General features: G+C 40.8%; 1 protein-coding gene across 41 annotated transcripts in view, besides 2 other annotated features; it reads right to left on the reverse strand.

Moving 5' to 3' along the window:
- The window catches only part of DOCK9 (dedicator of cytokinesis 9), a 295,191-nt gene that overhangs the window by 11,912 nt on the left and 256,759 nt on the right, over positions 1-26,520 (reverse strand). For 14 of the 41 annotated variants that reach the window (XM_047430231.1, XM_006719931.4, NM_015296.3 and 11 more), the window contains exons 40-51: positions 26,309-26,446; positions 26,008-26,190; positions 24,303-24,416; positions 23,967-24,182; positions 21,490-21,547; positions 20,532-20,600; positions 19,058-19,164; positions 4,829-4,951; positions 4,012-4,125; positions 3,783-3,788; positions 3,300-3,335; positions 2,321-2,467 (exon numbers count right to left, since the gene is read on the reverse strand). In XM_047430231.1, the coding sequence (XP_047286187.1) occupies positions 2,321-2,467; positions 3,300-3,335; positions 3,783-3,788; positions 4,012-4,125; positions 4,829-4,951; positions 19,058-19,164; positions 20,532-20,600; positions 21,490-21,547; positions 23,967-24,182; positions 24,303-24,416; positions 26,008-26,190; positions 26,309-26,446 (1,311 nt within the window). The remainder of the gene's footprint in view (positions 1-2,320; positions 2,468-3,299; positions 3,336-3,782; positions 3,789-4,011; positions 4,126-4,828; positions 4,952-19,057; positions 19,165-20,531; positions 20,601-21,489; positions 21,548-23,966; positions 24,183-24,302; positions 24,417-26,007; positions 26,191-26,308; positions 26,447-26,520) is intronic. The other 27 variants (XM_005254035.4, XM_005254034.4, XM_017020513.2 and 24 more) reach the window with 5 other exon arrangements.
- Positions 1,847-3,046: an enhancer, noted in NCBI's record as "CDK7 strongly-dependent group 2 enhancer chr13:99459441-99460640 (GRCh37/hg19 assembly coordinates)". NCBI's record gives its function as "activates an origin of replication core promoter dependent on BRD2, BRD4, P300/CBP, MED14 and CDK7 cofactors, with strong dependence on CDK7, by STARR-seq in HCT116 cells {active_cell/tissue: HCT116}" and the evidence as "EXISTENCE:reporter gene assay evidence [ECO:0000049][PMID:35650434]".
- Positions 15,506-16,006: an enhancer, noted in NCBI's record as "H3K27ac hESC enhancer chr13:99473100-99473600 (GRCh37/hg19 assembly coordinates)". NCBI's record gives its function as "activates a minimal SCP1, AML or CMV promoter by ChIP-STARR-seq in primed H9 embryonic stem cells {active_cell/tissue: H9 hESC(primed)}" and the evidence as "EXISTENCE:reporter gene assay evidence [ECO:0000049][PMID:30033119]".

A 26,520-nucleotide genomic window follows, 5' to 3' on the forward strand; every position in this document is an offset into this window, starting at 1 on the left:
CCACCACTTGGATCAACAACTGCTAGCAGTTTGCTATATTTGTTTCAAATATACATACACATACACTTATGGATGTGCACACACACACAGACATACAGACTTTTTTTTTTCCAGTAGAACCATTTCAAAGTAAGTGGTACACGTCAGGATACTACAGTCAGCTTCTCCTAAAAATAAGGACATTTGCTTCTATAACCGCAATACATTATCATGCCTACCCAAATTAACACTGATTCCCTAATACCATCCAATACCCAGTCTATATTAACATTTTCTCAAATGTCTCCAGAATGTTAGTTATAGATATTTGTGTTTGGATCAGAATCTAATCAACAATCACACTTTACATTTAGTTGTTATGTCCCTAGTCATGTTTAATTTAGAAGAATTCCCTATCATTCATTTTTCCCATAACATTGAATTATTTTATTTTTTTTTGAGACAGAGTTTTGCTCTTGTTGCCCAGGCTGGAGTGCAATGGCGCGATCTCAGCTACTGCAACCTCTGCCTCCAGCGTTCAAGTGATTCTCCTGCCTCAGCCTCCCAAGTAGCTGTGACTACAGGTGTGTGCCACCATGCCCAGCTAATTATATATTTTTAGCAGACACAGGGTTTCTCCATGTTGGTCAGGCTGGTCTCGAACTCCCGACCTCAGGTGATCCGCCCGCCTTGGCCTCCCAAAGTGCTGGTTTTCTTATTGAATGACCTCCAGTCTGGATTTCTCTGATTGTTTCTTAAACTGCATTTTTAATATATTTGGCTTAGAGAGATAAATGTTTATTTTAGGAATAATGTTTGGAAGCTAGGCCTCCAAATTATCATTAATCTACAGACAGCTGAGATTAGATGCAACAGCTGCAGATCAATTAATTTAATACAGGTACAGATTAATCTAGACTAATCTAATGATAAATTTAGTTTCTATTTAACATATAAATGCTTTTAAAACCACATTGCTAGAATTGGTGGTACTTTCATTTCTGTGACATGATAGAGAATTAAACATAGGCAATTCCTATGCAGAAACAAAAGCTAATTTATTAGGAAGACAAATCAACAAATCAATTTTGCACATTTTAATTGTATTTAACCTTCTAGAGCAATAAAAAGGGACACAAAAGAAATGGCTGTGCAGAGCACATGGAGACCATACTGGTATAAGGCAGGCAAATGAAAGAGAACTGTTCTCAAAACAGAGACGATTGTGAAGAAAAATGAAAAAACAGATGGAAAAGTGCCTGAAACTTTAGAAGAAAATACATAAAGTCATAGAAAGTTATTATTTGGGCCAGGCTCGGTGGCTCACGCCTATAATCCTAGCACTTTGGGAGGCCGAGGCAGGCAGGTCACTTGAGGTCGGGAGTTGGAGAACAACCTGGCCAACATGGTGAAACCCTGTCTCTACCAAAAATACAAAAATTAGCCAGGCGTGGTGGCGCGTTCCTGTAATCCCAGCTACTCGGGAGGCTGAGGCACAAGAATCTCTTGAACCCAGGAGGCAGAGATTGCAGTGAGCTGAGATAGCGCCACTGCACTCCAGCCCAGGTGACAGAGCCAGACTCCATCTCAAAAAAAAAAAAAAAGTTATTATTTGTATTTTAGAAAAAGCCATTTGGCCATTCATTCTAATTGTATCCAAACCTATTAAAACTTAACTTTCTTTAGCAGGAATAATTTAAAGGCAGTGGGAGTGAAACCGTCTTGCCCCATGTTTCACCTTCAGGAAGCAGAGGGAGACCTGACCTCCTGGAGATGTCCTGAGGAGGGTGGGACACACAAAGGTACAGGACAAAGGTGCAGGTTCCAAAAGGGTCTTCATGAGAACAGAATGCCAGAGGACAGCTCTCTAAGCAGAAAATGATCGCCATTCCCACAGTCACGCTGCTGGTGAGTTCATTCCTTGGCCTGTCCATGTGTCCATTCACCCATCCGCCCATCTGTTCACCTGTCCTTACATCCAGCCGTCAGTGACAGAGTGGCAAGTCATGTGCTACATGCAGGAAGAGGTGCAGTGAGTAGCGAAGCCACGGGCCTCATTCTGTCAGAGTTTCTAAATAGCTGGACTAAAAATGACATATCCTGTCAGACGTTAATTATTTTGTAAAATTAGATGTTTCAAAAATTAGGCGATAAAGATTTTTTAATGTCAAGCATGTAATGGAAAGCACTAAAGGTATCAGGAAGAAAATACACCTGCCACTCACGGCCAACAATCCTTAATATTTTTCTTGTGTTTTTTTCTATATACATTTAAAAATATATAATATGTAATCAATCACAACATTACATTGCTATGAAACTTATCCAAACATGGTCATACCTTGCCAGAATCCTGTATCATTTTGACATTTTCAGAACCAAATTTATCCGAGTACAGTTTAAGGAGTCTCTGAGAAATTTCCGACAGCGGTGTGAGTTTGGGTTCCTTGTAAATATACTCCTTTCCATCTTCATCTTCAAAGAATCCCTGTGACATAAAGCACAATTAGAGCTATCCCTGAACGTAAGCCCAGGGCTTACCACCTAGGAAGCGTTCTTTTATTACAAGGGGGAAAAAAAGGAATGGGTCTAAAAATCCTGCTGAAATGGGCTTTCTGAATGAGAAAGAAAATGCTAATAACATGAAGTCTAGGTGCAAAGGTAAAGGAAAAACACAACATTGCAAACTTATTCAAGAATGCAGTCATTAAGTGTTGAGTGAAATGAAAGATTTTGGATACAAGACTAAGCTGTCCCAGGGAAGTCTAATGGGAGTCAAGCCTGTTTCACTTTCCCAAGAAGCAGAACTCACTAGAAAATGATGAGCAGCCCACGACAGGCAGGCTCAGAAGTGGACATGCCTCCCTTCTCCTGATGGCTCCCATGCACACAGGATTTTATGGCATGAACTGAAGCGTTTGGGGGTCTGGAGTAAGTTTAGTAAAAGTTAGGTAAAGCTTGTATAAATTGTATTTTGCTTTACCGATGAGAAAAAAATATTAAAGACCTGTAGCTCAATATCAGAAAATATTTTCATATCACCAGTCATCATCTGTTTTAGCACCAATCATGTTTGACTACAAGGCTTAGAATTGCATGGGAAGTGAAAAAGGTTGAAAATTAAAAAGTCCAACTGGGGTTAATGTTTAAAAGAAAATTTTTTAAAGTTTCTCACGTAAATTAAGAGAGAGAAAATGGTGCACAAAACAGTAAAAAAAAATGCAAGCTAGCATGAAACAAAAAACATCCACATCAAACTAGGAGTTTAGACGCAGTAATTTCACTATATTACTTGCTTTTTAGGCATTTACTGTAATTACCTCCACATCTGTTTCACTGTCTGTAAACTGGTATTGCTATAAAGTTATAAAAGACAATAACAGAATAAATTGAAGGTTATATAATGCTCATAGAAAACCACACGCCCTAAATATATGTATTATAATTTATACCATTTAATAATGTTAAGGGACTCGAAGGTTAAAATTTAAGTTAAATTTAGATAAACCCTTTCCTATAGGGTTTCTGAAAAACTGTAAATATACTTGTGGAGATATTATACTACAAAGGATAAAGATGCACAGGCACAAAGGACACCAGAAAGTCTTAATTTTGGTTTAAAACATGCAATATAGATATATAAGAAAACAGGTGATTTATTTCTGTAAATGGAATAAAATGTTAATTTTTTTGGAGTTTGTAATAACTAGACAGATAAACATACAGACTTGAAAAGCAAACTTGCAAACCACACTGAAGTACCAAAGATGTTGCTAAGAATGTCTTAAGGAGGAAGAACTTACCGCTGCCTTAAGAAAGTAATAAAGAAAAGACAGGAAGAAAGAAAAAAAGCAGAAAGTTTACTACTGAGGAAGATAAGAATCATACTAAATATGACAAATTCATCAAATTAGCAATTACAGAAAACAGAGAATTTATAAGATATAACTTTATTATAGTTTTTTTTTTGTTTTTGTTTTTGTTTTTTTTTAAAGGACTTAGGACAGTCTGCAGAATGGACAGGAGGCTCACCTGCCCGAAGAAGGCTACCCGGAAGTAGGTCCCCAGAAGCCTGCGGCCCGAGTGCATGACCTCGGTCACTTTGCTGTAGGCCCGGTGCAGCGTGTCATACAGATGGGCCAGCCTCTGGAAAGCAGAACAAAGCCCATTTCTTCCCATGTGCAAAGAGGAGAATCGATTTTAAAATAACAAATGTGATAATGGAGGTGAAAAGTCCTTGAACTTGAATAAAAATACACACACACACATTTTGGCTGCACAACTTGTAGTGATCATTAATGAATGGTAACATTTCCTACCCAAAGGCCAGCCCACACGTGAGGACCCATCACATTTCCACATTAGAGTAAGCAAACTCTGTTTTCAAGTTAAGATGCGATGTCAGAGATGGTTCCCCAACGTGATTCTTGGCCTTTGCTTTTCCTGCTCTGTTTGATATGCCTAGAGAAACTGGATGACCTCCCAAGCCCAGGATGGACGGAAGGGACACCATTTTTTCACGCAGGTGGAGTAAGGAAGAGTTCTCAGAAAAGGGACAACTGGTGATCACAAAACTCTGTTCATGGCAGCCTTTCGAAAGTGGAGTGCCGGTTACTCTGTAGTTTGAGATGTGGGGGTCTCCACAGAGGTAGGGCCCAGGTCTGGGTGATACCCGATGACTATTTGGAGATGATGACTGGCCACCACCTTCAGCGTAACGTGGAGGGTCAGAGACCCCCACTCATCTCTGGCCCATGGCCTGCTTCCTCTCTCACATATATGCAGGTCTGGGTATATGTCACAGCGTCATGCTCTCAAATAGGAAAAAAACAAAAAGGCACTCTCATACCTCAAAATCCCTCCGCTTCTCATAAATGGGGATGATAAGTTTGTAGATGTCGGCGATGAGCTCGTAGCGCTCGGCTTTCCAGAGTCCATCTGCGCACTGCTCAAGGAGCTCCATCAGCACATCCTGATCAAAGAGGAGGGCCAACAGCAAGAGAAGAGCGTTATGGGGAACGTGACATGGCACCCGTTGCAGAATGCTAAGTGCTAAGACTGCCAGGAGGAATTTTTCACAATAGACAACATGCATCAACACTCACTTCCACACTTACAACAACATTCTTTTTTAGGGAGCCATTTTTTCATCACCACGTTCTTTTTTAGGGAGCCATTTTCTCGATCATGGTCACAAGCAAAAACGAAAAAGGATCACCCTGCATAACTGCATAATACATGGAAAAACTGACACTGATACCATCACAGGGGCTCTCAATTTTTGTTCCTAGTTGTCTTAATAAATATCATCTAGAAATTTCTTTTCCTTTTCTGAGGAACAATGACAATGCTAAGACATGGAGCCTTACTAAGCATGATTTTAACACAAATTAAAGGGATTTAGTGATGGAGTGTGGGGGGCACCGTGCCTGCTTCACCTTGGACATTTCTACCAATTGAAGTTTGGGTAGTTACTCTGCTTCCACTAAAACCCTTGAACTTTGGAGGAAGTTAACACTACCCATGGCTTAAGAATTGTGGCCTGGACTTACACTAATCAGCACAAATCTATTTCCTGGCCACAGTCATTGCTTCATCGTGGGTGGACATGTGACCTAAGCAGGCCAATCAGGGTGAATTTTAGGACCCCAGCTTGGAATTCTAAGAAATGCTCCTACCAGACTGTAGCTTGGCTGAGCTGGCATTCATCTCATGGCCATGGAAGGGGGCCTGTCTGCCTCAGTAGCAGAGTGAAGGGCCTCCCTTCTGCTGCCCAGCAAAGTGATGGTGTCATGAATAACTCTGTTAAAGGTTTGGATTGATTGATGTTAATCTCTCCGTGGAATTTCCTAGTGGGATCCAATACTTGATCTCTAATGTTTAAGCCCATTTTAGAGGGGTTTCATTAATGATGCTGAATTAATTTTAATTTGTTGATTTGTTATATATGGCTTTGGTAAAGTGTCTATTCAAATCTTTTGCTCATTTTTCTACTGGATTGCTTATTATTGAATTTTGAGAGTTCTTTATATACTGTGGATAAATGTCCTTTGCCAGATAGGTGATTTGTAACTATTTCTCCCAATCTGTGATTTGTCTCTAGGGTTTTTTTTTTAATATTAAATTTATTTTAGCTTTTTTGAGACTGGGTCTTGCTCTGTTGCCTAGGCTGGGGTACAGTGGCATGATCTTGGCTCACTGTAACCTCTGTCTCCCAAGTAGCTGGGATTACAGCTGTGCACCAACATGCCCCACTAATTTTTTGTATTTTTAGTAGAGATGGGGTTTTGCCATGCTGGCAAGGCTGATCTTGAACTCCTGCCCTCATGTGATTAGCCTCAGCCTCCAAAAGTGCTGGGATTACAGACGTGTGCCACGGTCTGTATGCCTATGTCTAGGTTTTCTTAACAGTGTCTTTTAAAGAGCAGAAGTTTTTAATTGTAAACAAAGTTTATCAAGTTTTTATTTCCTGGATTATGCTTTATATGTTATATTTAAGAAATATTTATCTAACCCAGGTTCACAAAGATTTTCTCTTATGTTTTCTTCCAGAAGCTTTATAGTTTTACATTTTACATTTTAGACTATGACCCATTTTGGGTTATTTTCTAATGAAGTATAAATATTCTTTTTTGCATATGTATATCCAATTGTTTCAATACCATTCGATGAGAGACTATGCTTTCTCTATTGGATTGCCTTTGAACCTCTGTCAAAAATCAACTGATCATAAGTGTGTGGGTCCATTTCTGGACTCTCTGTTTTGTTCCATTGATATATGTGCCCATCCTTGTGTCAAACCACAGGATTTTTTTTTTTTTTTTTTTTTTCGGTTTTGCTACACTTTAATGGGTTTTTTTTTTAAGGGATTTTTTTTCAGGTCTTGTCAGCAACATCAAACAAAAGGTACTGAGTACTCCACAGGGTACAGAGTGCTGCCAAGCACCTTAGAAAAATTACATGACACGGAGAAAATGCGCCTCTTGCTCCTTGAAGAGCTTACAGTCTAGGGATTTGACAACTCACAGTCTTAGGAACTGGGCAAAGTAAGGCAAATTCTTCATCCCCTAGAGCTATTGTGGACTGAATCATTTTAGAATTTGGAATTAATCCAATCAAGATGAGAGACAAGACTAAATTTGGCTGAGAATTCATTCAGGCTCGCATAGTTTTTATTAACATCCGTCTAGTAAACAGAATGGACCTAACAGACAACTGAAAGTAAAGACTAGATCTCTTGAAGTGCAAGGGCTACAACAACTTAATTGTGGTTACTTATTTTAAAAAGCAAACATACTGAATGGTATGACTAGGGTGATTACACTAGTTTAAAAATAGGCCAGGTACTGACACTGCATTCCCCTCATGCATTGCTCATTTAAAATAGTGAATATTAAAATATGTGGGCTTTACATCTAACCCACAGAAAGCCCACCGCAAATGTTCTGTGTATCAAATATCCACCTCATGTGTACTATGAAAGTTTTATTTATGCCCCATTAAGTCAAAAGTAAATTATAGTAAGCTAATGACCTGCATATTTTCATATGGATGAATGTCAGTATATCTAAATAGGAAATAAATGGCGATATTTTTTATGCTATTGTAAATAGCACTGTTTTAAAGTTTTGATGATCACTTTAAAGGAAAGTGCTTTGTTTGAATAAGATTAAATATCATCCAGCTTATTTGTTTCTAAAAATTACATTAAGTAATCATGAACTATACAGTAAAACCATAGTATAAGAATGAAGAAGTTAATTTTTGTATACTAATCTTGTATCCTGTGATCTTGCTAAATGGACTTAACAGTTTTAGTAGCTTATTTTCCAAGTTCTTCGGGATTTTCTCTTTATAACTATGTCTTATGTGAATATGGAAAGATTTATTTCTTTTTCTTGCCTTACTACACTGGCTAGAACCTCCAGCATGATATTGAATAGTCAGTAAAGCAGGTATTATGGTCTTGTTTCCAATTTTAGGGGCAAAGCATTCAGTCTTTCACAATTAAATATGATGGTAGCTATAGGTTTTCTGTAGACAGTCTTTTTGTTTTCAGGTTAAGGAAGTTCCTTCTATTTCTCATTTTTTTAAAAAAATTATGAATAGATGTTGAATTTTGTCAAATACTCTGTATGCATCTACTGAGAAAATCATATGGTTTTTCCTATTTATTCTGTTGATATGATCAATTAATTTGATTGGCTTTTCAATGCAGAGCCAGCTATGCACTCCCAGAATAAACCCTACGTGGTCATGATGCATTTCTCTGTTTTATGTATTGCTAGATTCAATTTACTAATATATATTTTTTTAATTTTAATTTTTTTATTTTTTGAGACAGAATTCCACTCTTGTTGCCCAGGCTGGAGTGCGACGGCGTGATCTCGGCTCACCACAACCTCTGCCTCCCGGGTTCAAGCGATTCTCTTGCCTCAGCCTCCCAAGTAGCTGGGATTACAGGCATGTGCCACCATGCCCGGCTAATTTTTTGTATTTTTAGTAGAGACAGGGTTTCTCCATGTTGGTCAGGCTGGTCTTAAACTCCCGACCTCAGGTGATCCACCCACCTCAGCCTCCCAAAGTGCTGAGATTACAGGCATGAGCCACTGCGCCCAGCCTTCAATTTACTAATATTTTATTAAGGGTCTATAGTTGCTTTTGAAAATGTTTATATCCTTCACAATACTGTAAATGAAGGGCAAGGCCTGTGTTTTTCATTACCAGCCCTAATGTTTCACTACAGGACTAATGCCTACAAAGATTACAGATTCAAAGTAAATAAACATTTGTAAAGCAGTTGTGACTCAATTTAGCAGAAAACGCTATCTAAGCAAGACCATTTACCTCCTACATCATATTTATAGCACACGAGTCATAAAAGTGTCATTTGTGTGACTGAACTCTGTACCGGTGCTTATTAAAAGGTACATCAGTTTTGCCTGCTTTTATTGCAGGTCTCATAAATACAAACACTAAAGCCAGATACATGTAGTAACCACCATAGCAGCAAATGACATGAAGAAATCAGAAAAGGTTTTCACACCCACTCTTTTCCTTTGTATCTGTATTATAAAGAAGTACGTCTTTTTTTTTTTTTTTTGAGACAAGAGTCTCATTCTGTCGCCCAGACTGGAGTGCAGTGGCACAATCTTGGCTTACTGCAACCTCCACCTCCCGGATTCAAGTGATTCTCCTGCCTCAGCCTCCCAAGTAGCTGGGATTACAGGGGTGTGCCACCACGCCCAGCTAATTTTTGTATTTTTAGTAGAGACAAGGTTTCATCATGTTGGCCAGGCTGGTCCCAAACTCCTAACCTCAAGTGATCCACCCATCTCGGCCTCCCTAAGTGCTCATGCCTATAATCCCAGCACTTTGGGAAGGCATGGTGGGTGGATTGCTTGAGCTCAGGGGTTCAAGACAAGCCTCAGCAACATAGTGAAACCCCATCTCTGTAAAAAATACAAAAAAATTAGCTGGGCATGGTAGTGCATGCCTGTAGTCCCAGGTACTTGGGAGGCTGAGGTGGGAGAACAACTTCAGCCCAGGAGGAGGTTGCAGTGAACTGAAATCGCACCACTGCACTCCAGCCTGGGTGACAGTCAGATTCTGTCTCAAAATAAAATAAAATAAAATAAAATAAAATAAAATAAAATAAAATAAAATAAAATAAAATAACCTTAATTTTTACTAGGCTATATAATCTATGTAATCCCACAGGGTCTCATACACACTGGGTAGTCCAGTATCTATTGGACGAGTGAATCAATGTGTACTTTTCTTAGTAATATTAACGATATTACTAGATAATAATAGCTGTCCTTGTCTGTGAGGAAATAAGCTAAGATTCCCTTTACCAAAGCCTTGCATTTCTGGCCTATCTTAGGTCAAATACACTGCCAGTGTGTATTTATTATCTTGACTCTCAGTGGTGTTGTGGGACTGCAGTAGAGGTGGAAGAATTCTAAGAAGACCTAGCTTCCCGTGGGGAAGACATATTGTATAACAAGGCATACTTCTAATAATGAAACCATCAAGGGCATGGAACTTTTCCCATTTTAAAACTGTCCTTAGGTTTACTTACAGACTAATCATTTGGTACCTTCGGTTCTCATTTTTGGGCCTTTTCAAAGAGAAATGTAAAATTTTTTTTTGTTTGTTTGTTTGTTTTGTTTTTTTGAGACGGAGTCTCACTCTGTTGCCCAGGCTGCAGTGCAGTGGCACGATCTTGGCTCACTGCAAGCTCTGCCTCCCGGGTTCATGGCCATTCTCCTATCTCAGCCTCCCGAGTAGCTGGGACAACAGGGGCCTGCCACCATGCCCGGCTAATTTTTTGTATTTTTAGTAGAGATGGGGTTTCACCATGTTAGCCAGGATGGTCTCAATCTCCTCACCTTGTGATCCACCCACCTTGGCCTCCCAAAGTGCTGGGATTACAGGCGTGAGCCACCGCGCCCGGCCGAGAAATGTAAAGTTTTTGTGGAAAACTACGACCAGTCCACTAGTAAGCCATGGTCCACACAGTAGATGTAAATCTACAATGACACCCTGTCCTTTGTGGATCAGATTGGAGACATAAAGAGTCTTAACTCCACGCCATACCAGTTATAGCATAATAATAATCTGGTGCAATTTTAATGCAATCTCATTAAAAATGAAAAATTCTTCTCAAAGAGTTACCAAAGTTACAACTATGTGTCCTCACCACCACATCATTGAGTCATCCACCTATTGTATCATTTGTTCAAATATTTATCAAGCATCTACTACATGCAAGGCACAGCGCTTGACACTGGGGTTATAAAACAAATCTATATAAATAGGATTTAGTTTCTATAATTTATAAAAATTACTCAATAGATTTTTACCAAATGTGAAGGGCAGGTTTTGGATGGTCTATTAGGCTATGTGTCATGAATGAAATTTGCTTCCTCAAAGACACACACGGTCATCCTCAGAGGAGCCAGAACTGATGTACTAGAGACTCAAGACTACCAACCAGAAGAGACGTGATATACATGGTAAGACACGGAGGACAGAGGAAGACCCAATGAATTCAAATACATGCCCAAGATGCAAGTCGCAGGGGCAGGCACTCTGACTTGCGAGCAACGGGTACTGATTCATTTAACAGTAGTCAGTGAGTCCCTGGGCGGTAGTGAGGTCAGGTGAAGAAAGAACAGTCAGGTGAAGGAACGCTCCCTGTCTCCTAGAGCCCAGAGTCTCGTGTGGGAGCTAGGTCCAGGAAGAGATGGTAAAAGATGGCGGGAGTGCACGAATAACGAAATGTGCAGGGAGGCGGGAAAGAGCAGCATCTGTCCGGCCACAAGGGAAGGTGAGGCATGGAAAGCTGAGGAGAGTGATGACTGGCTGGGTCTGAAAAGAGGATCGGGTTAGTCAGGTGAAAGTGAAAGGTGGGGGTGGGAATACGAAGGAAAAGAGAGGAGACAGCCCAGGTTGCAGGAACAGCCCAAGCAAAGGCAAGAGGGTGAAGGCAGCACAGCACGGGAGGATTTACATGTAGTTTGAGGGCCTGGAATCTAAAATCGCAATCAGAGTGATAAGAGATGAGGCTGTGGAGGTGGGAAGGGATATCTTCACTGAACTGGCACACTCGGAGCTTCCTAAGTCAAACATAAATTAATAATCAACTGTAGATAATTTTATGAGACATAAAAACATATGTAGACACACATCAACCACCATAACAGACAATAAGGTATTATATAAGGAAGATCTTATTACTTGGTATTAAAATGATAGTCTGTGTATCCAAGCAAGATATCTGTATACAGCAGGCTTTCAGGTATATTTTAAGTAGCTCTAGATTTAGTCAGTTATTAAATATATGCCAAACAGAATTTATGGGTGGTCTCCTGAGTCAAATGTTTTTAACTGATAGACTAAGATTGGGGTTTTTTGTTTGTTTGTTTGTTTGAGACAGGTCTTGCATGTAAGACGTGCTTGCTTCCCCTTCACCTTCTGCCATGATTGTAAGTTACCTGACGCCTCCTAGCCATGCTTCCTGTTAAACCTGCGGAACTGTGAGTCAATTAAACCTTTTTTCTTTATAAATTACCCATCCTCAGGTAGTTCTTTATAGCAGTGTGAGAACAGACTAATACACCCAGCTTTTTTTTTTTTTTTTTTTTTGGTAGGGATAGGGTCTCACTATGTTTCCCAGGCTGGTCTTGAATTCCTGGGTTCACATGATCCTCCAGCCTCTGCCTTCCAAAGTGCTGGGATTACAGGTGTGAGCCACCACATCTAGCCTAAACTATGATTCGAATACATGCTATTTTTACTCTTGTGTAGTCAAATTATAAATAAGTGAATAGTTTAATAACAACAAAACCTGAATTTAAGTAGCATATAAGTATTGATATATGATATAATGTATGTACCACATGATACAGATAATTGAGTTCATTATGGGAGAACCTGTTATATTTGCTAAAAAAAAAAAAAAAAAAAAAGATGGGCTTCAACAAGGGAGAGTCTCCAAAATGGCTGGGAAATAGGAAAGTTTGATAAAGTAGATAGAGCTTAGTAAGTAATTATGAAATAAGTCTCACAATTTGATGGTTATCAAGAACTAGGAAATAACAAATCATTAAGTTTTATACTCTACTGAACATTATTTCGTCTTCTTTTCTGACTCAGAGGCCATTCAAATTCTATAGTTTATCAGTCCAAATATCACTTATTATTATAAATAAATGGTATTATACACTATAAAAAGCAGAGTTAGCACAGATTTTACCCAATAACAAACTAAAAATAGCTTTTATATTACAAAAGTAAGTCCACCTCTCACATAAGTAGAGTGTGGATTACTGAACATTAAATCCTAATTTAGTAAGCTATATTATTCAAGTTAATGCCAACTCTATACCTAATCCTTTACGGCTTCTGCATCAAGTAACAATTCTTTGAATAGAAATAACTGGTAATCAACCGGCAGTTCAGTTTGAGAGACCATACACCAATACAAAATTATTCAGTCACAAAGACCAAGACACAATAACTAAACATTGGAGCATATATGAATAACATTTTCAGCAGAAATTCCAGTTATTAATTTACTTTAAATTCTCAGCAATCATTGCACCTGAAAACCAGAACAAATCCAGACAATGGTCAGATAGTGATAACCTTATAGGGCAGTCATATGGAGTGCCTGATGGTTTTACCACTTTGCTTACAATTTAAATTCCAAGATATTTTTTCCTATATTGTTGACATATGCAAAGAACTGTTAAGTAAAAGCTGGTTGGGGGAAAATATTTCATAATATATTTATATTTTTAATATTATAAAATATGTCATAATATTTAAGTCTAGGCTAATATTTTATGATATTAGCCTAGACTTAAAAGGAACTCAGTGCAGCAAGTTCATAAGCCATCAAGGAAGCTTTTAAAAATGTAATTATCCAGGCCCATTTTAGTGTGCCACAGTGATGCAATTGAAGGCACTGAGCATCTGTCTCTGGAAACAGCACACTAACATTGTGTGTGTGTGTGTGTGTGCGCACACATGTGCATGAAAATGCCTGCATGAGCCTATGTCTGTGCAGGGTTATTTAAACATTTTTTCATTGAGATACCATTTGCTCTATTTTAGGATTAATTTAACTAACCTTACCTATGAAGCTAGATGCCATCGGTATTACCTACCATTTGGGAATAACTGCAAATGTGTGACCTGGCTTAGGCAACAGTGTGCTATCACAGCATAATGCACATTTCTACTATATCATCATTTCCCAAGGTACAGTTGAGGACCACTTACATCAGAATAATCACCTTGGATGCTTAAAATACAGATTCCCGGGCCCCACACCCACCCAACAAAATCTGGGTTTGGGGGGTAAGGATGGGAATCTATATTTGTAGCAGGGATCCAACTAATTCCTAAGAACCTGAAAGCTTGAGGATTCTTGCACTGGATGAAAATCTCTGAGGCAGGGACTTCCACTTACACATTCCTGAACTAGCACACGGCACATGGCCAGTCTATGGAATTCATCAACATATGTCAATCTAGAAATTTCCAAGTCATGAAGAACTCAGACAACTTCCAGTTCAGACTGGAGGGACTGTGGTTGAGGTGTTTCTCCTCAGAGGGCAGAAAGCAGCAGTAGGAGTGTAGTGTGCTATGGCAGGGATCACAGCTTACTCACTCTCAGACCTCTGGCCCCCAGCTCAGTGCCAAGGAAGCCCAGTCCACATTTGCAAAATGAAGTAGGGCAGTATGTGCTGGCATCCGGCAAAGGCAGAACAGCCACCCAAACTCCACTGGCCAAGTTCCCTACTCACTGCCACTACTGTTGTGGAGAATCGCTGTAACACTGAGGATGTGCCATGTGACTTTCACGGCTCCAGGACCACTGTCAGTCAAGGGTAAAGTGGACATGAGCTAGCTCTAAAGGTTTAACCACCACGCTTGGATGAGACGTAAACAGTAATCCCTGAATATGTTCTGTTGATGTCTCTATCTCCTGGGATAGTCTATGGATATAAACACTTAATGCTTCTTACTGGCAACTATTCCTGAATAGAAACAATTTTGACGAATAGAAGCCAGAGACTGGCCTAGTTAAGTTCATATAATGTTTATTACATTCAGCAGCAATTCTGCAATGGCAAGACCTGCTGTTCTGTAAAACAACAGTTTTGTGTGCTAGATACAGTCAGTTCTCGTCATCTGAGGTAGTTATGTTCTATAAAGTCACTGTGAATTAGTGAATACTTGTCCGCTTCCTAGGGAAAATGCAAGGTTCAGTTCCTGGGAGCCTCTGGTTACAACATTTTCATTAACCAATCAATACCTACACTTGTTTTATGTGTTTTGTTTAAAGACATCTAACTAAATATATATTGTTGATTCATTAACATTAAATATATAGCCAACAGCACTAGAACTCACACTTGAACAAAGCTTATGTAACTTACACATGGCAGTGTTCTTGCACTTAGGAACCCCAGAAAGCCATTCTAAACAGCAAACCGCCAACAAAATCCACACAAATGTGAAAAACATGGCATAAAGTAGACCACCAAAAGGGGGCCTGTTCATGGTGTTACAGGAAAGGGGTCCCAATCCAGATCCCAAGAGAGGGTTCTTGGACCTAGTGTAAGAAAGAATTCAGGGCAAGTCCACAGTGCAAAGTAAAAGCAAGTTTATTAAGAAAGTAAAAAGTGGTCAAAGTACAGCTACTCCATAGACAGAGGAGGCTGTTCCTGAAAGTAAGAGGAGGAACACATCCATCCCAGGTACATTACTCGTATATATGGGGAGATGTGCTCTGCTATGAGGATCTGTGATAAAGGATTAATTTTCTTAATTACTGTATTTTGCAAAAATCGATATTATTAGCTTTAAAGAAAAATCAGGAACGCCTTTCTTCTCCAGATATTGAGATATCTAGACACTCTCAAGTCTGGGTCTGTCTAGTAAACATTATTAATTTGATCCCTTAACCATAAACATCTAGAGGCTCAGAATGCCTGACCTTCTGGGAAGGCAGCCCAGCAAGTCCCAGCCTCATTTTCCTAGCCCTCACTCAAGATGGAGTCAGTCTGGTTTGAACACCTCTGACAATGGGATGAGAGCTGCAACAAGAAGCAGAGTGTTGCCTGGTTCGGCCTCAGCTGGAAACATAGTTGAGTGGTAAAATCTTTTGATGCTCTGTACATATCCCTGAATGACCACAAAAGTACCAAGGAGTATTGATTTGGAGGCTACAAAGAAATTTCAGCAGATAGGTGGATAATGAGGATCACCTGTACTTTCTACTTTTCCCTCTGGAGCTCCTCTGGGCCCTGTTCTCCTGGGCTCTGCTCTGAGAAGCAGACACTGCAGGACTCGTGCATGGTGACTTCCTGTCTGGTTGCTGTTGAGTTTGGCCAAGGATAGGCCCCAGTAGGAGGCTGGGGGGCAGGAGGAGAGTGAGGTGGGCAGTTACTCCTTTCCTCCCTGCGTGGGTGCCCTCAGGAGTCCTTTACTAAAAAGCTCACAGGTCCTGCCAGGTGGTCCTTCTATGTAATTTCTCCCTTTCTCCCTAAGGTTAAGGGGTGACGCCCAGCTGCTGCTAACCTCGGGGCACTGCAACATCCCTTGTTGGCTTCCCTAAACCCTCTCTGAACTTTTAAAAACAGTTCCTTTCTTAGACTTTCTTCAATCTCCCAACTATGCTACCTGCATCCTTCCAGGACCTTGGTACTGCATTCGTTAACAAGGGAGGGATCTCAGAACTACATGGGCCATGGGGAATTTTGACACCACAGGAAACTCTGAATTCTTCAATCTACACAGGCTCAGTCTTGCAAAACAAAATTGTGAATAGGAATTGGAGGTTTCTCTTTATTAATCAAAAGCAGCTGGAAAGGAGTCTGCTCTTCGGCTCAGAATCAAGGAAGGTGGAATTGGTGCCAATAAAAACTCATCTGAGACCTGCTGCTAAGAGAATTGAGTATTTTTAGGTAGCGTCCCTTAAAGTCACTTTAGAGAACATCTCAGGCATTTAATTATATCTAATAATGTAGATGAAAAGGGCAATGATTTTTATTCAACTGTGTTATACACTTATCTCCCACCAGATTTTCCCCAAAGTCCTTCCTCTCTGGCAGAGATTTTCATCTCTCTTTTTCTTGCAACATCCTGGCAGCCAATGCAAAAACGTGCCTGGTAATTTCTGCTTTCCTGTCTTTTAGAACATGTTAGTCTTTCTGCTTCCCGTTAGTTTCAATCTGGATGTGCAAGGCTTGCTCAGGACTTTATAACCCTGCTGTGTCACATCCTAATCACCACAGATTGTCATGTACTATGGACCTTGTTAAAGATTTACTAAGTTTATGCTTCAAGGACAAGGTGACGAATCCGTCTTCTGAAAATAGCTGATAAAGGGGTCCTTGTCACAGGCTTAGTTATTACTTAGAGGGGACTCCATTCACAATTTCCCCAAGGCTGTCTGCACTTGATTTCACAGGCTAATTCATTAGGCTCTAACATAATAACTATCTCAGCCTGTTACTCAATCAGATGAGCAAATGCAAGCTTCATTTTATCAGCTCTGCAGGATAGGTCACTAAAAATAGTCTACTTTCCAATCTTTAATTGTTCCTGGCATCGTTGCTTTCCTTATCTAATTCCAAACAAAATGGTACACTCCAGAGGTCTGACTCGGCAGAGGTGCCAGGGTGGTTTCTGCAAGGAGACAATGCAGTCATGCCTCTTCTCAGAGAAAAACTCAGTTGAAATTCGCCTGAAGTGAGGAGTTCAAAGCCAAGAGTATGTGGGCCTTGATCCTTCAGTGGCAGGTTTCATATTTGAGAGTAAAAAGTAAAACAAACAAACAAACAAACAAACAAAAAAGACCATCCACCCAGGCCTTTCAAGGTGGAGAAACAGCAGAACTGTTAAAACCACGTAATAACCAATCTATTTCTTTTTTTGTAGGATACCTAGAAAACTTTATTGGGGTTTAAATTATCTTAATATTTAAACATGAAGTACACTCAATATGTTATCCTTTTAATTCATGCTTAGTTTTTAATTTTGAGGACCATTTGAGACTAGACAATTTACAACAGTGGTTCTTAAACTTTTTGAGCTCAAGACCCCTTCGTAGATTTTAAGAATTATTGAGGACCTCAAAGTTTATGTGACTGTTCTCTCTCAATATTTACAATACTAGATATGAAAACTGAAACAAAATTAAGATTTACTTATTAATTTAATGAAAACAATAAGCCTATTACATATTTTAAAAATAGCATTTGTAAATAAAAAAGGATATTTTTTCCAAAAAAAAAAAGAGTGAAGAGTAGTAGTATTTTCCATTTTTACAACTCTCTTTACTGTCTGATTTTGCAAGATAAGCCCAAATGTGCATCCATTCTGCACACAGCCTGTTTGACAGGCTGTTTGGGTCATTGCGTACAAAGAAAACCCAGCCTCATAGACATTCAGTAGCAAGAGTACCGCCTCAAAGACTCACTGAAAGGTTCCAGGACCATGTTTAGAGAACCACTGACTTATGGCCTAGCTCATGTCATGAGGATGTGTGTTCAAGGGCCTGCCTCCCTGGCATGAGAATGGTTAAAAGCCCCAGTATCAACCGTATGCCACACCGCTGTGGCCCTGGAAATCAGGATGAAGCAGGTGCAGCAGAGGCGGAAGAGACTGACTCCTTTCTTGGCTTGCTCTTTCACTCCATGGGAGAAATTGGACAACTTCAATTTCCTTAAAACATGGGCAGGATTAAAAAGCTTTCCCTCAGCTGTTTCATTCTGCCCTGGGCTGAAGGGAGGCAGGTACACACAAAGAACCCTTCAGGCAGATAGGCATGGAAAAGGAAACAGAGTGAATGAGTGAATGCCAGCAGAAAACTGGCATTTATTCAAATATCTAGTTTTATGTCAAAACTCGCCAGTTACAGATAAGTGGCTGCAAGGCTAACCTGTTTTAGCAAGAAACTGGAATTTGCAGACATTGCTACGGTGATCTAATGTCAAACTTGCTGGTCTCTGTAGGGGGTGCGACAGGGTGGTCCTGTTTCCTAAGGGCCCATAGGACCTGCGCCACAGCACACAAGCGGAGGCAGGGACCAAGGCCCTAGACAGGGGTTGCTATGACCAGGACCCGAGTCTGGCCTCTCATGCCTTTGAGTTTGCCCTGGGGATATGACTGGTGCTGGAGACATTAATTTAAAAGTCAGATTAAAACTAAGAAAACTCATGAGCCAGAGAAATTAACTGCTATAAAGAATGAGAAACTTTATGACCAATATATTGGAACTTTTACCGGATGTGCTCAAGCACTGAGCCTCACTTCATTACAATCTAGCCCCTCATGATCTCTTTCCAAAGAAAGGAGACACTCCTAGAAGGGGAGAACGGCAGAAGCTTTTGCTGCTCTGCATCAGTTGTCTGGAGAATCATCTCAGTTAGAGCTATGTGTATAAGTAGCAGCTACAGGGAGGAAAAAGCCCTGGTCTGATGCACTAGCAATGCAAACAGCAGGCTCCCAGATACCCCAGTACCTGAAAGCCCACATGAGTTCAAGCACGCACCTCGTTGAAATGGACATCCTGCATCCCCACGTCTTCCATCATGGAGGCCTCCTCGTCGATGTTTGGGGTAATGACCCTGAAGGCGGTGCATCCTTGTCTAAACACGCCTAGGAAGAGAGGAAGGAGGGACAGTCAGAGTTAGGAACCTGAACGTGGGTGAACCCTGAGGGTTTTTCCTGCCCTGTGTGTTTCTGTGTTGAATGAAATAACGGATTTTGAAATCTCTTAGGCACCAGGCCAGCATTCACGGGGGTACCTGGGGCTACTGTGTGCTTTTCTTCCCTATAGTGAACCCTAACCTCTTTCACTTTCTTTTCCTTATCCCTTTTTATCTACCTTTATTAAAATGTATGCAATCTCTAAATATTAAACTATAAACTGAGAAATAGGTATTAAATCAAAGTAATAGTAAAATAACAATAAGTGAAAATTTGTCTTGGTAGGATGACTCGTGCTGAGATACTAAGAAAAACAAAGGCAAAGCCAATATAAGAGAAATGTATGATTCAAAAAGAACTGTTTCCTTCAAGCTGTCACCTCACCCACTCTGGCCAGGGAAGAACACATCTCTCAGATGAGAGCTTCCCCACACAACCCAGGTGTAGCTTCGTAGCCATAATGGTGAGCAGACAGGCTGCCTTAGCTGGTTCCCACCCCAGAGGCCCCGGGGTGGGTGGCTGGCTGCATCAACAGAGGGCATGGATGCCTGGGCACTCTGATTCTCCAAGAGGAAATGGTGTTAGCTTAGAGGCAGGATCAATGTCTGGGATAAGGATGTGTTTCTTAAGCAATGACAGCCCATTTGGGACCTTTCCTCGTCTTAGAGTCACTGGAAAACAGCTTTAAGTCAGTTGGACCACGTCAGCTATGCAAAATGATCAAGTGAAGAAGGGCATGAGATGTTCCACTACTCTATTTTGAGATAACTGTTCACAATAAAATAAAACAGAAGTAAAAACTTGAATTGAGACTTCTACATTTAGGGAGAAAGAGGAACACAGGGTATTCTGAAATCAAGCCTTGAAAACGGAGATCCTGAAGTCAGAGATTTTTCTGCTGCACATGATCCCAGGTTTCTACACTATTCATGGATTATCCAGCATCTGCCACTATCCCAGTTTAGTTTTTATTTTGTTATATGGAAACAAGAGTCTCCCATGAAAAGCATTAATCTAGGAACTTGAGGATACATTAACATACAAACTGTAAAATTAAAAAAACCAACCACCCATGCTCTAGGCTATATAGTACATTTCACCACATAACTCGGAGCCAATGGAATAACAAAAATGGTGGCCAAGGTGCTTTCCTCTTGTGCCCACAGGAATAGACCAGCCAACCAGAGAGCCACAGAGTAGGAGGGAAGGAGAGTGAAGTCTGTCCATGCAAAGTTAAAAGGGCAAATCCCCCACCACGGGAGGGCACGTGACCAGGGCAGGGGGTCCCCGGGGGCTGGGCTGATCCTCAGGCTCACCTCCCCGGCTCCTCCTCAGGCAGGCGCTATGGCTGTGGGGGAGAAGGGGCGGCTCCCACTGGACTGCTTCTAAACATGAGGAAATGCATCACCTGATAAAAGGTCTCAACAGGAAATAGTACCGGTATTAAATGAACATGGAGCCCTTTCAAAATTTTTCTCTTTGGGGCTCTGCTGTTTCATTCCAAATAGCCAGCTGCACCAGAAATATACAGTCTGTGGCCTCGGCATCTTTGGTTTCACACTATTTCTCACTTCGTACATCTATTCCTCATTAGCCCAGATCTGGTGCTGCTGTTTTCTCCCATGTAACTCACGCAGACTACCAGCTTTTCTAAGAACCTCAGTATTCTAAAAATAAATGTCACCATTTGGGGCTGTGCTGATTTTGAAGTGGAAATGAGCACCTGCTGTTTAACCAAAGGGAAACTGTGAAAGAATTCATGGCCTGCTCATCTGGGCACAAACGGAGAGTGCACAAATGAAGCGTCACTCCTCGCCCCCTCTCCTTCCTCTGGGAGATAAGGTTTCCATCAGAAAGGCTGCCTTCTTAGACAATAAAGCCAGCTGGGCTGCGTTGCAGAAATGCTGTCTGATAATCTCCCGTTACAACTTTTTGATTGCCTAAACATTCTAGTGGGAACTATCTTAAGGGAAAAATAGTATCTTCTTAGCTCTAGATTTGGCCAGATGCAAAACTCATTAGCTAGTTTTTGCAGAGTGAAGCTATCAGAGGAGGTTACATGACAACATGCCATCTACTTTTCTGTCTAGTCCTGGCAATTTCTGCTGTGCCCACCAATTCAAGCAAACATCACGCCAGGGGATAAAACAACGAATACACTTCACAAACACACAAATCCCCACCTTCCAATCTTCCTGAATGGCTCTCACTTGTCTGCTGCTTTGTGTGGTTTTATACTAATTAATTTCACAAAACATGAGAATAATTCCTTACCTTTCCGTGTGAGATATTCTGCCACTAGGGCTGTTACGTGGACATAGCACATTGCTGCCTATAATAGAAGACACATGCCTCAGAATCATCATTCATAACAGCAAGTCATAATGCTCCCACACAGACAGAAATCTAATCAATGTATGAACGTATATATTAGATCTCAATGCACCAGCTAGTATTTCTAATAGCTGATATCTTACCTTTTGAAGAGAGTGGAATCACTCACATAAGCTGAAAATTTGAAATTAATTGGGAGTTGAGATAAATGGCAGTAAATTTGCTAAGGCTTTTTTCTATATAGAATTATTACATTTGTAAAGTAAAAGATAAAAGCAGCATTTTCCTCTTACTATACCTAATACTTCTGCATCATTTCTCTCAAAGCGAAAAGAGGATGCTTTGAAGAAAACATGTGCTCCTCCCTAGATTCTGAGAGAATGGCTCAAATTTCAGGTGCTAATATATTTTTCGCTTGACTTAAAAATTAAGAGCAAGTTATAATTTTTTCCAAATATAAAATTCTAAATAAAAATCATAATTTAATCTCAAATAGGTAACATTATACGTATCTTAAATTGAAAGAAAAAAGAAATTTTTTCACCAAATTGCCATGGTGTTATAAAGATCAAAGACAGCTGTTAGAAGCGAACCCCCTGCAAGGTTCTAATGCATGCGGTTCTGTGCCTGTCAGCGGGGTGAGCGCCACCACGTGGTGCCCTCGTCTAGACCCTCACCCCTAGCTACTAGCCAACACACACCAGCAGAGGCTGCTCCACGTGCACGTGTGTCAACGAATGTTAGCAGCGTGGCATGCACTCTGATGTGTGCAGAGAGAAGTCTGTTGGAGAGTGGAGTTATGTACTGTCCAGTCCTCGGAGGCAGAGTTCATGCCTCCCACGTGTGTCCCTCTTGCAGTACAAAGCAGGGTCACATGCACTGAACAGGCAGGAAAGTACATGACGGGTTACTGAGCACACACACAAAACCAGACACGGCAAGGGCAATAAGAAATCTTATAAATTAGCTGCTTTCGTCCCTTATTCACTGGGTATACTGGGTTGGGTAGTGTCCCGCCAAAATTCATGGCCTCCCTGAGACCTCAGAATGTGATATTATTTGGAAACAGGCTCTGTTAGGTGTAATTAGTTAAGATGAGGTCATACTGGTGTGTGGTGGGCCCTAAATTCAACATTACTGGTGTCATAGACATATGGGGAAGGATGCTATGCGACCACGGAGGCAGGAACTGGAGGGATGTGGCTACAAGCCAAGGAACATCAAGACTGCTGGCAACACAAAGAGCTCAGGGACAGGCATGGAACCAGTTCTCCCCAAGGACATTCGGAGATGTGGCCCTGCTGCCACTGCAATCTTGGACTTCTGCCTCCAGAACTGTGAGAGGATACATTTCTGTGTGAAGCCACTCAGTCTGGGTACTTTGTTATGGCAGCCATGTAAAACTAATTCACAGAGGAACAGCTGAAGCTTAGTAAGTTCTTCCTTTCTTTTTTTGAGACCTAGGCCACATATGTCATTAAAGAATCTTAAATTCTTAGAATGATAGAAAAGTTACTTCTCTTAGTTATTCCTTTTTATTATGGCCAATGTGTGGTTTACATTAAATTTATAGTCAAAACTGTCACGTTAATGTGTACTTTTTAGCATATTGAGCTCCTTGAAAAATAAATATGTAAAAATAGTTAAAATTTTCAGACTTAGAGTATGTTTATTAATTCAAACAGTTATAAAAGTTTAAAAGTCAAAACTTGCTTGCTATTGTAATAATGTTGATCATAGCTAAACATCTCAGGCACAGACACTGAATGAGTTCTCCTAGGCGCACAGACTGCCTTACAGCCAATTGTTTTCTTCAATTCCCCATTTTACAGATGATGTCATTGAGCAATAGAGGGGTTAAAAAACTGGCTCAATGTCACAGAGTTAGTTAATATTGGATCTTGGATTCAAAGTCCAATATTACTTGTACTGGAGCCCACACACCCAACTCCCAGCCATGCAGTCTACATATTGAAACACGTCAGCTCTGCATAGAAGGGAATGCTGGAATACCTACTGCATCCACAAAAGGAAATGGACTACCCTACAGAGGAGAAAGCAACACCTGTCATTACCTTAAATAACAGGAGGAATTCATTTGATCATAAAATAGCTGAATTTTAGAACTACAGAGGAATTTTGATGTGTATTTTAATTAGCAGGAGACTGTATGAATAGGTTTAAGAGCTTAAACAATGCTCTTTGTTGACAAAAATAACCCCTTACAATTTGTTTTAAATTATTAAAATGCTCAGCTAACTATGAAGTCACCCTAAGCTTCATACTGTTTAAAGTTTTGCATACTTTTAATTGGTTTTTGATTAATGGAATAACTTTTCTCAAAACTGGCTTTTTAAGTGAATGGGGCCTCACTGGTTTTTTCAAAAACCCATTCAAGCGGCTGGCAGGGCTACTACCTCTGAGAGATCGCCATTTTTGACATGGATCCTGGCCATGCTGTCGAGCCACGTCTTCCTGAGCTCGGGCGTGCTGGCATAGGATTTGGCCAGGCTGTACTGGAGGTCCACCAGCATCTCTGGGTCGTTCTCATGCTCCTTCATCTGGGCGGTGGCCATTAGCACCGTGCGTATCCTTTTGGTTAAGTCCTTCACATCAGAGGAGAAGCTGGTGTGCTAAAACAAGGGTGGAAGAGGAAAGGACACATGGCTTCCTCTGTTTGCTGCCTGTCCACAAGCACCTCAGGTGCTGATGCAGAGTCTCAGGGTGAAACTAACATGGGCCAGGCTACCCACCTTAATAAGCCGGTCACTGTTGGCACAGTTGTTGATGATGGACAGGGACTGCTGGAATCTGGTTCCCCCAATGCCAACAACGTCTGCTATCAGCTGGCTGACAGATATGATGACCTTAGGGACACACAAACATGAGCAAATCAATTTACCTTCAAATGACTGCCCAGGCTGGGCTTCTGCGTTCAGTTAGGATGTGCCTAAGGACCCAGCAAAGTGGGGGTTGGGGGGTGCTTTGAGCAGGGGTCGCTCCGTGTAGGAAACAATGTCTGAGGTATTTTCTTCCCCTTTAAGAATAATTACAGAAAGTGATTCTGCTATCCTTAAAAAACACTGTTTGCAAAGCAAAATGCTGATCAGGAGAGCAAAGGGAGAAAGAAAATGAGATAAGCCCATCCACTTGGATAGTTACTTACCTATTACCTTCTCTAACCAAGAGGGAGACATGATTTATTTCTCAGTTTTCAGTTTGAACTTAAATGTATTAAATATGCTATGGGTAGACTGTCCTTTGCAATACTTTATCAGAACATGGATAGATTAACTATGCCACAGGGGGCTCTGTCTTTTTTTGGCTCAATGAATAGCACTGCCTTTACCCAGTTGCTTGAGCTAAAGCATGGAGGCCATCTTTATTTTCCTTTTCCTTCACCACACCCAGTTACAATCAGTCACCAAATGTTGTCAACTCAATCTCCTCTTCCTTCTTACCTCACCATCCCTGGTCTAGGATACCATCCTCTCTGACCTAGCTTTGACAATGGTCTCCCTAGCTGAGGTCTAGACTACCCTTGACCCATCATCAACACAGGAGTCCAGAAGATCTGTCCAAATATGCAATGATTTGGATATGCCACCATGGGTCCTCCTCAACTCCTTCTCACCCATATTCTAAACTCCGCAGTAAGGAACATCTCTAGTTCCCCAGATGGGTGCTTCCCCGTAGTTCACTGTGGCCTGGAACATGCTCACTGATCTTCAACCATGAGCCCCTATGCATCCTTCACATCCTCTAGGTGCCCCTCCTGATACACTCAAGTTCCTCTACAATAACAGTGGTCACACTTGTACTCTCAGAGTTCCAGAGCTTGTCTGTGACCTCCATTAGACTACACTCCATGAGGGCTGGGAGAGGGTTGTTTTGTTCATGGTTGTATCCACGAATCCTATGTGGACAATAAATATTGTTTTTTAAAAAAAGGGTTAAATACAGAGATGGAAAAGGGACACCTACCATGTGTTTGTAGAAAAAGAGAGTTTACAAAAATACACAAGTTTGGTCATTATCTTGGCTGGCTCTCAGAGCAGAGAATTTAGGATGCTTTAATTCTGCAGAGATAGCAGATGTGTCAGCAGATAGAGGACAGAAAAGAACCACTTAGGTTGGGCTTCTTGTTCCTTACCTAAAATGTTTACTATTAAGCATCCTCACATAGGTTCTAACACTTCTTGATTCAATGGAATTTTAGTCAGTCCAATATTGATTCAATATTTAAATGTCAATTTACCAACAGAAACGCATCTCAGGCCCATATCTTATAGTAATGGAACATGAAATAAACCAAGCCAGCAAACGTGGCTTCCCAGTTTTCCAGATCTTGCAGTATCTTTATGACAAGGTAAATTGGTTAATGTGATACTCAAAGTTTTCCTGATACAGCAGGATTCTACAGAGTAAATCTGTATTGGAAAGCTAAACCACACGCACTTGCAAATGTGTCCGGACAAAGGACTTCTTTCCAGTGTAATCAAAGTTGTTCCTCATCAGGAAGTAGAGCAGCTGGGAGGCCTCCGTCCTGATGGAGCTCAGCTTGGAGTTACAGCACTTGAGAATCTCGTAACACAGAGCCGCACACATGTCCGCTCTCCCTTCATAGAATGTTGAGGGAAACTAGACAGGATGAGAGGAAGCAGCAGATAAACCACAGACAGGTCAGTGCTCGGTAATGTACCCTTCAATTCCGGGGGAAGAAGGAAAACATCTAACCACTGCCCATGAAGCAACTTACCTTATAAATTAAGGACCTTAAGGCAGTGAAGACATTTTTTAAAGCCGTTTCAGACTGATGTTTTTGAAGAAAACACAGGTAGACATCAAAAACTTTTTTCATGAGAGGATTATGTCCATGGTCGGCCAGGAGCTGGTTCTTAAAACACACATTGACGGCTTTGTTAGACATACCAGTCACCTCTAGTAGGTTTCACACAATTTCAGGCTCAA

The sequence above is a fragment of the Homo sapiens genome, chromosome 13 (genome assembly GCF_000001405.40).
Source record: "Homo sapiens chromosome 13, GRCh38.p14 Primary Assembly".
NCBI classification, from domain to species: domain Eukaryota; kingdom Metazoa; phylum Chordata; class Mammalia; order Primates; family Hominidae; genus Homo; species Homo sapiens.